The following is a 16,173-nucleotide window of genomic DNA, read 5'->3' on the forward strand; positions in this document are numbered from 1 at the left end:
ATGCACCAGCCACAGCACAGACTGGGGCCTTGGGAATTAAGATGAAACCTCTCCTGTTTCTTTAGCCAGTCAATATCTTTAGTAACAAATGAGATTACTGCCTGGATGAACTGGTTTTAATTTACCTTTCTAAAGTGATAAATGTGCTTAAAATGAATATGGGAGTGACGAGGAAGTTTGCACAGTTCACTTCACTGGTCTCACTTCTTTGGGGAATGAACATGAACTCTTGGACCTGAATTCCCACCTCCTCCTCTCTTCCTGTCACTTGTAACCAAGTATCTGAAACCTGCTGGCTATAGGAATTATTACATTATGTGGAGTACTTGATATCCCAGACAGTCCCCAAGGAGAGGTCCCCCATCATGGCTTCCAAAGATAACCTTGGATGTAGGTACCAGAGTGACAGAACCCAGAAACTGGGCCTCTGTGTATAAGTTGGTCTTGAGTGTCCAGAGGCTGTTTTAAAATGTGTACAGAAAGGTAGCAATTAAATGTTTGTCTTGGAATAACCCTGGCCTCTGAATTTTCCCAGAAGCCCTAGCCTGGGGAAGATGATTAAAAATAGATCTGAGTAGCACTTCCTGCTTGGCAGATGGCTGATAGCAAATGCTAGGCTTGTGGCTGACCTTTCCTTTCTGAAATCTCCTCTGTTTCCATGATGCTAATTGAGTCCCTCTCTAGGCCCAATCAAAGACTCCTTAGCTGGTTGCAAAAAAGTAAAATACAAAAAGCATGGCTTGCTGTCCTGGCTGGGCTCAGTTCATGGAGCAACATGAAAGTGCTGGAATTTGCATGGAAACACCCACTCTGTGGTCTAACCGGCTGGTCCTTGTTTAGAAACTAACAAGTTCTGCTTTCAGATTTACTGCCCAGTGCTGCTAAGGATCCCACACCCTCTCCGCTCCCTTCAGTAAGGAAATATTTGTGCATTGAAGAGTGATAAGAATGCCCTGTGTTTAGATGTGGGCACAATAGACAATGCTCACCACACAAAGCAGATGCCTAAGAGAGGCAGGAGCCTTGTAAGATGTGTGTCCTAGGACTGACTCTGTCCCCATCCACTGTTGCCTTTCCTCATACCCAAGGTGGTTGTGAGAAGTTAAAGTAAATAGTGCTTATGACAATGCCCCGAGGCAGTATCAGAACATGGGACATACAGTGTAGTGTTGTTATTATTATTTTAATTTTTTGACATGGGCTCTGTTGCCCAGTCTGGAGTGCAATGGCATGGTCTCGGCTCACTGCAACCTCTGCCTCCCAGGCTCAAGTGATTCTCCTGCCTCAGCCTCCTGAGTAGCTGGGATTACAGGCGTGTGCCACCACACACAGGTAATTTGTATTTTTAGTAGAGACAGGGTTTCACCGTGTTGGCCAGGCTGGTCTTGAACTGACCTCGTGATCCACCTGCCTCAGCCTCCCAAAGTGCTGGGATTACAGGCGTGAGCTGCTGTGCCCAGCCTATTTTTATTATTATATGTTGCAAACATCTCAGGGCCACCATTGATTTCTCCTCGAGTTGTTATTCTCCGTAGGAAAGAGATGGGGATGTAGCTGGACTGTACTGAGGAGTCCTTAGCAGCAAAACAGATGCACTTCCAGCTGCTTAATCATGATAGGTGGAGTAGGTTGCCGGGGGCTTCTGCTGGCTTTCAAGGCCTCACAGCCTCTTTGACCTTACTTCCTCTTCATGAAAGCCCTCTGCTGTGATCAGCCCTCCTACAGCGCTCTCATCTCCTCCTGTCCCATCCATCTTCTCTGAACTCCTTTAACAGCCATAATTTATTGCCGCGATTTATACTGCTTTAGACTTAATGTATTTTAGTCCCGTTTTCTAGGTGGCTAGATGGACTAGCTATATACTCTCTGCGGTGCCCAGCAAGGCTCCGGACATGGCTGCTCATTAGATATTTGTTGATTGATCATCATGGAGACACAATATTTCTTCATGTGGCCCTATCACAACATTCTGAGTCACTCCCTTCTTGTTGGACACTTGGGTTTCCCTGTAATTTTTTTTACCATCAGAGATCGCTTTAGTGGGACTCAAAGCTGTTTTGCTCAGGAGATGATTTTCCAATGCTTGATATTTCACAGTAAGTCAGGCACTTGCGTTGGCCAAGAAAGATTGAGCACCCAAATAAGTGGAAGGGATTTATGTTTCTATGTCTAAGGATGGGAGTCTTAAGGAATTATCAGATAAGGTCGGTCATCTGATGAGCAGAAAAGACTTGCTTTTTACGCAGATAAACAGGAAGTTTGAAAACACAAGAGAAGTCTGAGTCAGAAATGTTCATTTAATATGCGAGGCATCTATTCTCTTGAGAATATGGACTCACAGAATGTTCACCCTTGTAAGAGACCTTGCTCAATCCCTTCATTTCACAGATGATGCAATCCCAGTTCAGAGTATCGGGGTTCTAGCTAAGGACACCATCCTAGTTGAAGGCAGATGATCTAGCCTTGCCTGGCAGGGTTGGAGTGGGTAGTCTGGTTATTCTGACCCAGTTATGTTCCATTTCTAGAGGGAATACCAAGAAGCATCAGTGTGTGCTCTTGCATTTTGGCAAGCACCCTATGCTCAAATCCTTCTAATAATTATATGCCCATGTCTCTTTCATAAGGCTCTTTGGCTAGGAGTTCTTCAGTCCCCACCATAATTCTTACCACCATGACCCTTTCAAGTAACACTGTCTCTTCCTTGATACTGTTTCACATAACTCTACTCTTGAATCCAGTCCCAGAGGGTTGGAATAGAGAGGCTGAAGGTGGATATATGCTAATGGCGCTCACCAGAGGAAAGTCTGATGTTGGACAACTGCCACAGCAGGGACAGTCACAATGTACTTCGGTTTGTGCATGTAACCTGAAGCCCAATTAATTGTTTCAGTAAGGCCTGGTGCTTTGATTAACATTAGAAGGAAAGTGTAGGAAGTGTCTAGGGAACACCTTTTAGTATGAAATGAAAAAGGTGTAGAAAACAATAGTGAACATGGTCAGACCAGGCCACATAGGGAAAATTTGAAGGGACCGGTAGGAAGAAGGTGGATATTGTTATCCCATTTCACAGATGAGGAACTTTTGACCCGAAAGCCGAACAAACCAAGAGTACGTGGCAGAGGAAGTGCTAGAACTGGGAACTGAACCTAGTCAGTTTATCCAACTACATAATTCTTCATTCTACCAAGCTACTAAACTGGGAGAAGTTTAGCCCATAGAAGGAAAACCTGATGTGGGAGAGATAAGAGCTTTAAATCTATGACCTGAAGTGTTACAGTGCCAAGGATCTAAAGATGGAGGAATCAGGAAGCTCTAAGGAGAAAGAGCTCAGCTCACATAAGGAATTTTGGCATTGTCAGAGTGATTGGCAGTAGAATGGGCTTCCTCTGGAGGTAGTGAGTTCTCTGCCCCTGAAAGTATTCAAGGAGAGGTTTGGTAGAAATGTGGGGGAGAGCCATGCTTCAGGTGCATGGTTGACCTTTGCGCATAGGGAGGGGTCTTTCAAATCCCAGTGTCTGTGAGTGTATTTAAAACTGGATAAAGTCATGTATGTATGTTTTCCTTTGAGATCCTTCACTGTACCCAAACTACAGCCCACTGCATGAGATTCCAGTGGCCTGTAATTACTTAAATATTTCTCTTTGCAACTCCTGAAGCATTCTTCAGTATTCTTTGCTAGTTCTTTGCTATGTGGTCCAGGTGCCAAAGCAAGAAGGGATTTAGAGTTTCTTAGCTTTTACTTATTTGTTTCCAAGAGATTTTAAATTAGAATCATTCATTCAGTCTTGAGATGAAAAAGCTGTTTTTAGGCTGGGACTCAGAGGGTGTTCCCTCGGTGGTCCTCAGACAGCCTTAAGCATTGCAGGTCTACAAATTTAATATTATCCGTTCACTCGAGTGATCAAGCTCTGGTGAAGTGATTCACAGTAACACAACTCACAGGAAATTAATTTGGAAACTGCAATTCTAATTCATTAATTTACAGTGGAGCAGATAATCCTGAAAGCTTGGACTGTATGTTGTCTTTGTTGAAGGTAAACCCACTTGAGCGAGAGAATTAAATTTAGGCGATTGCTAAGTCAATATGGAATCAGAGCAGAGAAATTTGAATAGCCTAAGAGATTTTCATAAGTTCTAACAGAGTGAGCCATCCTCCTTCATCAGAGAGACAGACTTTTCCAGTGAATACCCTCTAGAAAAATTTTGGGACTTAGAGTCAAAAGCTGTGGGTTTAAAGTTCTGACCTTGACTTACAAGCTGTGTGAAACTGGGGAAGTTTAACAGCTCTAGGCTTCAGTTTCCTCCTCTGTCTTGGAGGTTTTATCAGTTCACATGTGAAAGTGTTTTGCATATTCTGACATCCTATATACCTGTCAGTTTTAGTCTCATTCTGTTTAGGCTCCCTTCTTTTTAGGAAGTCATTGGGATGACACCTTCATGACCCCATCTTCATTCTTCCCTAGACTTTAGAGCCAGACTGCCTGGACCTCTGTCATCATTTATTGATTGTGGGTTTGTTGTTGTTGTTGTTTTGAGATGGAGTCTCTCTCTGTCGCCCAGGCTGGCATGCAATAGCGTGATCTGGGCTCACTGCAATCTCTGCCTCCCAGGTTCAAGTGATTCTCCTGCCTCAACCTCCCTAGTAGCTGGATTACAGGCACCCGCCACCACATCCGGCTAATTTTTGTATTTTTGATAGAGACGGGGTTTCACCATTTTGGCAGACTGGTCTGGAACTCCTGACCTCAGGTGATCCACCTGCCTTGGCCTCCCAAAGTGCTGGGATTACAGGTGTGAGCCACCATGTCCGGCCAGATAGTTTGACCTTAGGCATATTTCCTAGCCTCTCTTCTCCGTACTTTTCTCATCTGTAAGGTGGGAAGAATGATTATACCCACCTGGTTTTCGTTGTTTTTTGTTGAGAGGATTAAGTTACTTCACTTTGAGTTACTGTTTGAATCCTGCCCTAGTACATGGTAGTCATCATATGAGTGTGAGCCATGACTGTTATTTCATAATTTCTAACTCATTTTTATGAGCCACCTCAGTCTCATTTACAAACTCTAATTTCACTGTAGTGATTGCTTATTAGAAAATAGTCAGGCGTGGTGGTGGGCGCCTGTACTCCCAGCTGCTTGGGAGGCTGAGGCAGGAAAATCACTTGAACCTGGGAGGCAGAAGTTGCAGTGAGCAGAGATGGCACCACTGCACTCCAACCTGAGTGACAAGAGCAACACACTGTCTCAAAAAAAAAAAAAAAAAAAAAAAAAACAAAGAAAAAGGAAAGAAAGAAAATATTTTGAAAGCAATCCCTTCTGTAGCATGTGGCTTCCATTGTGGAGGGTGGCTTTCTCAGGCCTTTTTGCCTAGATTGGTTACAAAGGAAGTCTTACTTTGGGAGTCGGTAGGTTTTGCCCACTGACTTCATAGACAACCTTTGAAGTATAAGAACATTTTCATTGGCCAGTGCCCATTTGGCTTTGGGATCAGGAATGCAAATTGAAACATAAATCAGGAAATTGATATTTGTTCTTCCTAGGCATATTAATTTATATTATCCTTTTTAACTCTAACAGTTGTTTTCAAGGGCCCGATGGCTTTGAGAGACATTTGAGCTCCAATATTTCAGCCCTCCTAAAGGTTCTGGCTTATATTTGAACTGCAGAGGGCCCAGCTCTTAATGGCTGACTGCCCTTGCATCCTGGCACCACCGTCAGTGTCTAACTCAGAAGCTAGACTCCCTGAACAGACCTGGTGAGGATGGCATGTTGGCCTCTCTTCTGTAGAGGATGGGGATATCTGATCATGGGCATCCCCCACTCCATCCTTCTGGACGAGGCATACTTCCCATGCCTCACTCCCTCTCTGCAGGATGCTGAGAGCTGGCAGCATCTGCTTTCCCACTGGCTGCATGTTTACCTTGGCATCTGCTGTTCTAACCCCATGCCACAGACTGGAGAGGTTTATCCTGCTCCTGGTTCAGCAGAGAACAGCACACTGCCAAAGCCCCATTTGAAGCTCTTAGGACAGTTGGAAGAGGTGTGGGAGAGGAGCTTATGGGGTCTAAGCCGTAGGGGGATTTGGAAGAATCTGGGGTGCTCAGGCTGAACAGCCTGGCCCTTCCAGACTAGTTTTGCAGCTCCCATTTTAAATCCTGAAAGCCTGTGCTGGTGTGAAGGGAAGCACACGTTTATTAAATGCTTTTTATGAGCCACATTTGGTACTTACTATACACACAATCATTTCATCTTCACCACGTCCCTCTGGAATAGGGCGTTATTGAATCGGCAATATGTTCCTCCTTTCTGTAGAGAACCCTGAGGCTCGGAAGGATGAAGTGACTGGCCCAAGGTTTATACAGCTAGTGAGGGCTGGCTCCAGGCCCTCTCAGGCTCCAAAGCCGGCATCCTTTCCCTTGAACATCAGGCAACACGACACCATGAGGCAACAGATCTTATAGGATCTCTCTCTGTCCCATTCCCTAGGCCCATCCCTGAAAGTGGCTTAGTTCCCCCAAAACACTTCTGATACCTTGTGACTGAGACTCCTAAAAGGACTCTAAAAGGGCCCAGTTTGTGTAGGTCAACAGGAAGGGAATTTGAAAGTCTGATCATTAAATGGCTTAAGTCCCAGAGTCTCCTCCTTTTTTTTTTTTTTTGAGACAAGTTCTCACTCTGTCACCCAGGTTGGAGTGCAGTGGCGTGATCTCAGCTCACTGCAACCTCCACCTCCCAGGTTCAAGCAGTTCTCATGCCTCAGCCTCCCAAGTAGCTGGGATTACAAGTGCACACCACCACGCCCAGCTAATTTTGGTAGAGACGGAGTTTCACCATGTTGGCCAGGCTCGTCTTGAACTCCCTGACCTCAGGTGATCCACCCACCTTAGCCTCCCACAGTGCTGGGACTACAGGTGTGAGCCACCGTGCCTGGCTGGATCTCTCCCTTTCATCAATAAAACACCAGCACCCAGGCCCCCTCACCACCTTTTGTTTTTGTAGTTCCAAGCATCGTGAATGTTCCCATGCTCTTGGAATTTTATGACTCCACACAGCAGATATTTCCTCCTTTAGAGCCAGTGGCTTCCCTGCCCCTCCCTCCATCTGTTGTGGGAATGTGTGAGTGCTTGGAGACTACCATAGCTCAAATCCACGGGAGGAGGGGCCTTAAGAAAGCCATCCTTCTGCCCCTCGGCTTTTTACCCCCATCTCAAAGGTTCCTAGACAGGTGTGTGACAGTCTTTTTAAAATCATAAGCATATACAGTGGCTTTGTTCTATCCTAGTCTTTACTGGTGACCTATGTCCCCATGTGGAAGACGAATAGAGTCAGGAAGTTCTTCCTTTATAATTAACCCAAGTCTCTCTCATTTCCGTCTGTGTCCTCTTGTTCTTACTGCAGAGAAGATGGAATAAATCCCCTTCAGTCTTTCCTCTTAGCTAAATGTTCACAGCTTCTTTAAGTTGCACTCGGGTTCTAATTCTGGAAGTTTTTAACTTTGTTCTTTATCATCACCCCTCTCACTTTCTCCGTATGCATCCCCAAGGCTGAAATCTTAAACAGGATCTAGGGCTGTTTTGTTTGGGTTCCAACTCTTTGGAATGGAACCTATAGCTTACTTTGACCCAATATAGGAAAGCTCACCAGGCCTAACCATGGTTGGAGAAAAGAATGGAAAAAGGACTGATCTGACCCTTCCCTGCAGAATGTGAGATCTGTTGAGTTGGAGGGGTTTAGACGACACTCCAAGGGCAAAGGTTTTACTAATCCTCCTTTGTATCTCTACCTACACACTTCTGATGCCTTCTCACTGAGACGCCTAAAAGGAGTTAAAATGTATAGTGCCTGGAGCAAATCCATAGAGACCGACAGTAGATTTATGGTTGCCAGAGGCTGGGGGCACGGGAGACAGGCTGGCTGCTAATGGTGTGTGATTTCTTTTTGGAGTGTGAAAATGTTCTGGAAATAGTGGTGATAGTTGCGTGACCTTGTGAATATAAGAACCACTGAATTGTCTACTTTAAAAGAGTGTGAATATATCTCACACTCTTTTGTAATGTGAATTATATCTCAATTTTTAAAAGCTCAAGTTTACGTTTGTACCAGTAAGTTTTTTTTGTTTCTGAGTGAACTCAGCACATCAATAAGTTTGGGGTTTTTGTTTTGTTTTGTTTTGTTTTGACAGGGTCTCACTCTGTCACCCAATCTAGAGTGCAGTGGTGTGACCTCGGCTTACTGTAACCTCTACCTCCCGGGTTCACGTGATTTTCCTGCCTCAGCCTCCCGAGTAGCTGGGATTACAGGCATGCATCACCACGCCCAGCTAATTTTTGTATTTTCAGTAGAGACTGGGTTTCGTCATGTTGGCCAGGCTGGTCTCGAACTCCCGACCTCAAGTGATCACCTGCCTCAGGCTCCCAAAGTGCTGGGAAAAGTGCTGGGATTACAGGCTTCAGCCACCACGCTCAGCCTAATGAGTTTTGTTTAAAGCTGCATAATAGAAACATTCTAACAGTAACAAAGTATATAGTCTTGAAGTTTATGAAGCACTTGATAAACAGTATCTAACTTCTTTTTTTTTTTTTTTTTTTTTTGAGATGGAGTCTCGCTGTGTCTCCCAGGCCGGAGTGCAGTGGTGCTGTCTCGACAACCTGTGCCTCCTAGGTTCAAGTGATTTTCCTGCCTCAGCCTCCCAAGTAGCTGGGATTACAGGCATGCATCACCACGCCCAGCTAATTTTTGTATTTTTAGTAGAGACGGGGTTTCGCCATGTTGGCCAGGCTGGTCTCGAACTCCTGACCTCAAGTGATCTGCCCTCCTTGGCCTCCCAAAGTGCTAGGATTACAAGCATGAGCCACCACGGCCAGCCCTAACTTATCTTTTACACAAATCAGGTGTGAGTGAGAGCTATTTTATTATGCCTGTTTTACAGACTAGAAAATTGTGGCTCAGAGAGGTTAATGAGCTTGTTCAAGGTAGTAACATAGCTAGTATACAGTACAACAAGGACTCATACCCTGGCAATATGACTCTTTGAAGCTTGTGCAGTTAACACTGTGTATGAGTGGTAAATTGGGGAAGCAAGTGCCAGGTGCTTTAAAAGCGGTGGATTCACAGAAAATTGTAACTGGAAAGTATCATTGGGAGCTTCAGTCCCATCCCTCCATTTTAATGGAGACATTGAATTGCAAAGTGGGGAAGCCTTGCCTTTTGGCGTAATAGAGAAAGAGGGAGACCAAAGTCACCAAAGAAAGAGGTTTGAAGAACCAAGTAGGTTAGAGTCAACCTCTTCATCTCTCTCCTCCAGGCTCCTGTAAAGGCCAAGGAGGAGAGGTAGGGACTTTTTACTTTGTGCTTCATTGACCTCACTTATTCTTCTCAGCAACCCTAGGAAATGGACATGGTTTCTACTTACAGATGAAAAAGATGTGGCAGCTCAGAGGTTAACTGACTCTTCCAGGGTCAAGTAGCTAATAAGTTGAAGTTGTAAAGCCAGGACTTGAACCTGAATCTTCTGATGCCAAGACTAGATCCTCTTACACCGTGCAGATATGCAAGGGATCACCTAGTTCCCAGATGTTAGATGGTGTGGCAGGTGGGCGTCTGCTTTCCCCATCTCTCTCTGCACCTCCTGAGGCACATGCTTGGTAGCTGATGGTTGATCTTCCTAGACAGAGAAGGGGGCTGAAGTTTGAGAGGCTCTGCTCCTCTGCTAGACCCTTCATTTAGGGAGAAGTCTGTTCAAGTGAATAGGACTCCAAGGTGAGGACCTGTATCTATCACCAGGGGGAAGAAACTCACACATTTGCTCTGTTGCTGCCTCCTGCTTCAATCCAGAGTATTCATTTTTCAGTGGTTCTCCTACTTTTAAAAGGAGTTTCTGCCTTCCAGACTTGCAAAGGGGCCCAAAATCCGTGGTTTTGGCTACTAAACAGGAAACTCAAAGCCCTTTCTGTTCCTTTGAGCTGGCTGGAAGGGCTGGGCCTGGAACTATTACTTTACTTTAAAGGACAGAAGAAAAGTTTTGTGTGGCTTAAAAAACAAAACAAAAACCCTTTCCTGGAGGCCTGCACACCAGCCTTGGTTGATACACAACATGGAAAAGAGCCGCCTTGTTGCCTGGCAGTAATGACAGCAAACAAATGTGTCTGACAGTCTGTTTGGCATCTCCTGGTCTGAAATTCTGTTTGCTTTATTCTAATTGCTTCCTTAACTTCCTTTCAGTCTCCCCACCTTCGGTACCACCCTCTCTCCAGGCCGTGCCAGGTTGTGCCAGGCTGGGCTGGGCCCCACAGGATCCAGCAGCCCAGCTGGGGCTATTCTTGTCTATCTGCAAGATGCCTGTTGTTCTCCATGGCTGTTTTTCTCATCATAAATGTTGACTTGGCAGGGGCCCCAGAATGGAACCCATGATGGAAAAGTCTTCCAGAACTCTGCCTCAAAAAACACAGCTGATCCCGAGTGCCAGGCCGAGGAAACAGAGGTTCATAGATACTGCTCCTCAAGGGAACCTGAGTGGCTATGGCCACCAGGACAGCCCTGAGGGGGTTCAGTACCCTTTGTACATGTGGGCCTCTCCCCGCAGACTCTCTCAAAACAGGCCTGGAAGAAGCCATGGGCCCTTGGAGGTGCCTTAGGGCCTGGCTGGCATTTCTCTGCTCTGCCACGTGCCATCCTCCACCCCGCCTCTCTCTAGGAATTCTAATCTGTGTCAGGCCAGAGAAAGTGACTCTTAGGCCCAGCCTGGAAGCAGACAGAAACCCCCAGAACATTGGCCTTCACACTTTTAAAATGACATACCCCTATCAGTAAAATGTTTGAGCATAAACTCCTAATATATATGTACTTATTTATGAATTACATATGTGTGCTGCCATGTAATATGTACATTGTAAGCATACAATTTTTAATGAACATTTGTATAATTTAAATGGATGAAAGAAAAATTAGAAAATGGTTTTAAATTTTATTGAAGGTATATGCAATTGGATATACTCCTTTAAAAAAAATCTTGGTTCATCACTTTCTGATGCAGTAATTCAAAAGACGTATTCTAATGAGAGGGTTGTTCTTGAAAACTCTTAGGAAAAGTGGTTTTTTGGTTTTGGTTTTGGGTTTTTTCTGTAGAGATGAGGTCTCACTGTGTTGACCAGGCTGGTCTCAAACTCCTGACCTCAAGTGGTCCTCCTGCCTCGGCCTCCCAAAGTGCTGGGATTATAGGCATGAGCCATCACGCCTAGCACTGAAAAGTGTTCTTACAATATTTCGGAAAAATCCTTCACAAATATAATTTTAAAAAGAGAATTTAAAAATATGAAAATGAACAAGGGTTCAAACCCCTCTGAAACTCTTTGTTTGGAATAGTTTTAAATAGATTAGGGAATTGCTTACAATTCCTAATTGTATAGATATAGGAATTGAGTGTGCAGGCATAGATTTTAGAAATGGATTATTATTTTACAAATTTATTGAATTTTAAAAATTTTATTTTTATATTTACATACAGTAAAATTCACTCTTTGGTGAATAGTCATACGAGTTTTAACATAGATAAGTCTTAGGACCTTGGAGTCTTATAGTCTATTTAGTCTTACAGTCTTATAAATACATAGTCTAGGCCGGGCGTGGTGGCTCACGCCTGTAATCGCAGCACTTTGGGAGGCCAAGGCGGGTGGATCATGAGGTCAGGAGATTGAGACCATCCTGGCTAACACGGTGAAACCCCGTGTCCACTAAAAATACAAAAAATTAGCTGGGCGTGGTGGTGGGTGCCTGTAGTCCCAGCTACTCGGGAGGCTGAGGCAGGAGAATGGTATGAGCCTGGGAGGTGGAGCTTGCACTCCAGCCTGGGTGACAGAGCAAGACTCTGTCTCAAAAAAAAAAAAAAAAAAAAAAAAAAAAAAAAAAAAATATATATATATATATATATATATATATATATATATATATATGGTCTAATAGTGATTATAAGACTTTCTTTTGTTATAGGGCCTAAGAGTACCATTCTTCTGTTACCAAGATAACAGAACAATTCCATATCTCTTACTAACTCTTATAGTTAAACATTCTTTTTACCCATAACCTCTAGCAGCCACCGATCTTCTTAGCATAATGTATTTCAGATTCATCCGTGTTGTTCTGTATATCAATAGTTTGTTCCTCTTTATTACAGAGTAGTAGTATATGGATATACCAATCTATTTATCCGGTCACCATTTGAGACATTTAGGTTGTTTCCAGTTTGGGGCGATAATGAATTAAGCTGTGAAAAACACTCTCATATAGGTTTTTGTATAAACATAGGCTTTCGTTTCACTTGGGTAAATGAAATTGCCAGACTCGTTTCCAAAGTTGCTGTACCATTTTGCAATGTTTGAGACTTCCAGTTGCTACACATTCATGCCAACACTTGGTTTTGTCAGTTAAAGAACAAAAATTTAACCATTCTAATGTGGACTGATTCTGATGAAGTTCAGTTTATCAGTTTTTTTCTCTTTTATGGATTGTGTTTCTGGTGTATCTAAGAACCTCTTCTAACACAAGGTCACAAAGACTTTCTTCTGAATATCCTCCATTTCAAATTAATTTTGTACAAGCATATCATTTTTTAGCCACAAAATATTGACAAAAACAAGTTGTCTCTGTAGCATAGGTTTCAGGTACTTTACCATAAGTGAACCCCTTTGTAGTACTTCATCTCATATGCAAAACATTGCAAAGACCCTGCTATTTAAAATCGTGTTTTTTAAAAAAATAAGATTGGCCTTATTCACAGAAACAACAGTATTCACAATACGCTGAAAGCAGAGACAGAAAAAGAACACCTTTGTCACCTCTAACCCCCACAGTGGAGCCCCTTTCTTCCAGATACCTATACATACAGGACACATACCAGTCCAGGGAAGGTCCTAGTGGCAATCCATGTATTGTAACTGTTTAGCAAAACTTATTTTTTAAAGATAAAATGTATAAAATGAGCTAGTATTTTCTCCCTGCCCTGGAGAAAAGGGTTGTCTGGGGGTTTGTCTTGCACACCTTGCTGGGATACCACTGCCCTGGTAAGTCTCACAATGTTGCCTGTCTCCCTGTATTTCTAATTGTGTCTGGCAGAGAGTCAGTGATCTAGGAGTGAGAAAGAAGTGAATGCATTCTTCAAAGTCTTTCTCTGTCATTAATGGTGAAGCTCTGTTGCTTCCTGTTACTTTCCTGTCTGCTTTCTTCTGGGATTTGTTTCCCAGTAGCCACCTTCTTCTAAGCTCCGAACTTGAAGGTCTTAGCAAATGTTTCTTAGAGGATGACATTCCAAATTACCTGTAACTTAGGACCATGGAATAATAAGAGAATATAATTTTGAAGCTAGAAGGGGATTTGAAGGTCAGCTAGTTCAAATCTCTTATTAAAACCAAACCAAAAAGAAATGAACTATAATATCCATAGAATAGAGTACTACTCAGCAACAAAAAGGGAATAAATTGTTGATATGTTCAACATGAATGAATCCTAAAAGAATTGTGCTGAGTGAAAAAAGTCAGACAAACACATATACACTGTAAAAGAAAATACATTTCATTTATTTAAAAAATTCTAGACTGGACGCAGTGACTCACATCTGTAATCCCAGCACTTTGGGAGGCCAAGGCAGGCCGATTGGGTGGATTGCTTGAGCTCAGGAGTTTGAGACCAGCCTGGGCAACATGGCAAGATTCCGTCTCTACAAAAAATCCAAAATTAGCCAGGCATGGTGGTGCGCCCCTGTAGTCCCAGCTACTCAGGAGGTTGAGGCAGAAGGATCACTTGAGCCCAGGAGATCAAGGCTGCAGTGAGCCATGATCGTGCCTTTACACTCCAGCCTGGGTGACAGAGCGAGACCTTGTCTCAAAAAAAGATTCCAGAAAATACAAATTATAGTGACAGAAAGCTGTAATCGCCTATGGATCTATAAGTGGTAAGAGGATGAGGAGGGGAGGATTCAGAGGGATATGAGGAGATGTTTGGGTGTCATGGGTAGTTTAATCTTTATTGTGGTGATGTTTTCACAGGTATATACAGATATCAAAACTCATCCAATAGTACACTTCAAATATACACCGTTTATTATGTCACTTATAGTTCAAAAAAGTTGTTTATAGAAAACAAAAAAAACTAGAGACAATTTAGTTGACTCAGAATATTTAATAAATGACTACTGTGTGCCAGATGCACATTCTTATGTGTTTGGCATTCAGAGAGAGATTGAAGACATGGCGCACACCTTCAGGGAGCTCACAGTCTACTGAGGGAGTGAGATAAATAAACAGATGATTTCAATCCAGGATGCTAGTGCTAAGGCAAAGGAAAACAGGCCGGGTGCGGTGGCTCATGCCTGTAATCCCAGCACTTTGGAAAGCTGAGGCAGGCGGATTGTTTAAGCCTAGGAGTTCAAGACCAGCCTGGGCAACATGGCAAGACCCTGTCTCTATAAATTTTTTTTTTTTTAAATAGCTGGTTATGGTGGTATGCACCTGTGGTCCCAGTTACTCTGGAGGCTCAGGCAGGAGGATCGCTTGAGCCCAGAAGGTGGAGGCTACAGTGAGTCATGGTCACACCACTGCACTCCAGCCTGGGTGACAGAGTGGGACTCTCTTGGGGGAAAAAAAAAAGGAAAGAAAGAAAAAGGAAATGCAGGGAACATGAAGAGTCTAGAACATGAGTATCATTGGGTGCCTTTTTCTGGGGAGTTTAGGGAAAGCTTAATGAAAGAGGGGAGCTGAGCTGAGGCTTATTGGGTCAGGTGGAAGAGCCTCCCCATCAGAGGGAACTTCATGGGCAAAGTTAGTGCAATGCAACTTCCAGGAATTGCCTGTGGTTTGGCCTGACTGGAGTGAAGGACATAATGGGGAGGTAGCAAGAGAAGAGGCAGGAGAGGTGGCATGGCCAGGTCATGAAGCCCTGGAGTGGTGTTTGTGCTCCAGGATTGAACAGTGTGGCCAGGTCTAGACCTGTGTCGCTGGGACATTGTCTTATCCAAACACTCAGCATGGACTTCCAGGTTCCAGGTTTTGAGGCTTTGACACTCATAGCTGCTCAGTTGTAGCCTGGAAGCTGCTATATTCCCCAGGGATGTTTCAAGACCCCAAAAAGGAGAGAATTGGTTTGGGTCTGGGCACCAGCTGGGGAATATCTGCCTGCCCCTTGCAGATGCACCTGGGAGTGAAGGTGTCTGGTGTATTTGAATGTTGGAGGCAACCAACAATCCAGCTGCCCCAGAGGCAGTTTTTCCACAAGTAAAGAAGTTTGTTGGCTGGGTGTGGTGGCTCACACCTGTAATCCCAGTACTTTGGGAGGCCGAGGCGGGTGGATCACCAAGGTCAGGAGTTGAAGACCAGTCTGGCCAACATGGTGAAACCCTGTCTCTACTAAAAATACAAAAATTAGCCGGGTGTTGTGGTGCACACCTGTGGTCCCAGCTACTCAGGAGGCGGAGGCAGGACACTCGCTTGAACTCAGGAGATGGAGGTGCAGTGAGCCAAGATCGCGCAACTGCACTCTGGTCTGGATGACAGAGCAAGACTCCATCTAAAAAAAAAAAAAAAAAAAAAAAGAATTTTGTCTTTCACACTGGCTGGCAGCACTGATCCCTGACGTCCTGCACATCTGACAAAAATGATTGTCTCGCGTGCTGATCTGAGTCCTATCTGGTGCTCACCTACCCTCTGGTCATCTGTTAGCCACTCATCTCCTTGTTTGTTGGTTGGTTTTCAGAGCAGACTAAGATACTAAATTCAGGACACTGTTGTTAGACCACATTAAAAATGCAGGCGGCAGTGCAGAACATGGCTGGCTCATGTCAGGCCGACTTCTCAGTGTAACCAGAGAAGGAAAACATGGACAGGGCCCGTGTTAATGGAAGCAGACGCCAGATTGCATGGCAGGCTCTGGCTCCTGTTTCTCCTGTTCCCTGCCGCCCTCCAGCCAAAAGAAAGAAACTAATATGTAAGCTAGAGGTTAAAGTGGAATTGCTGCTTCATGAGCATTTCTGTGATGCAGAGATCAAGTTGCTTACATCTCAAAAGAGCTCCTGTGCTCCCATTTAGGATTGTAAACTGTCATGGCACTTAGGATCTTCTAGAAGGCATGACAAGCGATAAGTGTGGGTTGGATAGTTTTTTCTTGGGTCAGGGATTTTTTTGCTGCCTTT

General features: G+C 44.1%; 1 protein-coding gene across 2 annotated transcripts in view, besides 1 other annotated feature; it reads left to right on the forward strand.

Moving 5' to 3' along the window:
- The window catches only part of YPEL2 (yippee like 2), a 70,075-nt gene that overhangs the window by 40,050 nt on the left and 13,852 nt on the right, over window positions 1-16,173 (forward strand). The window lies entirely within an intron of this gene.
- Window positions 6,336-6,835: an enhancer, noted in NCBI's record as "H3K4me1 hESC enhancer chr17:57455401-57455900 (GRCh37/hg19 assembly coordinates)". NCBI's record gives its function as "activates a minimal SCP1, AML or CMV promoter by ChIP-STARR-seq in naive H9 embryonic stem cells {active_cell/tissue: H9 hESC(naive)}" and the evidence as "EXISTENCE:reporter gene assay evidence [ECO:0000049][PMID:30033119]".

Source organism: Homo sapiens, chromosome 17 (genome assembly GCF_000001405.40).
Source record: "Homo sapiens chromosome 17, GRCh38.p14 Primary Assembly".
NCBI classification, from domain to species: Eukaryota; Metazoa; Chordata; class Mammalia; order Primates; family Hominidae; genus Homo; species Homo sapiens.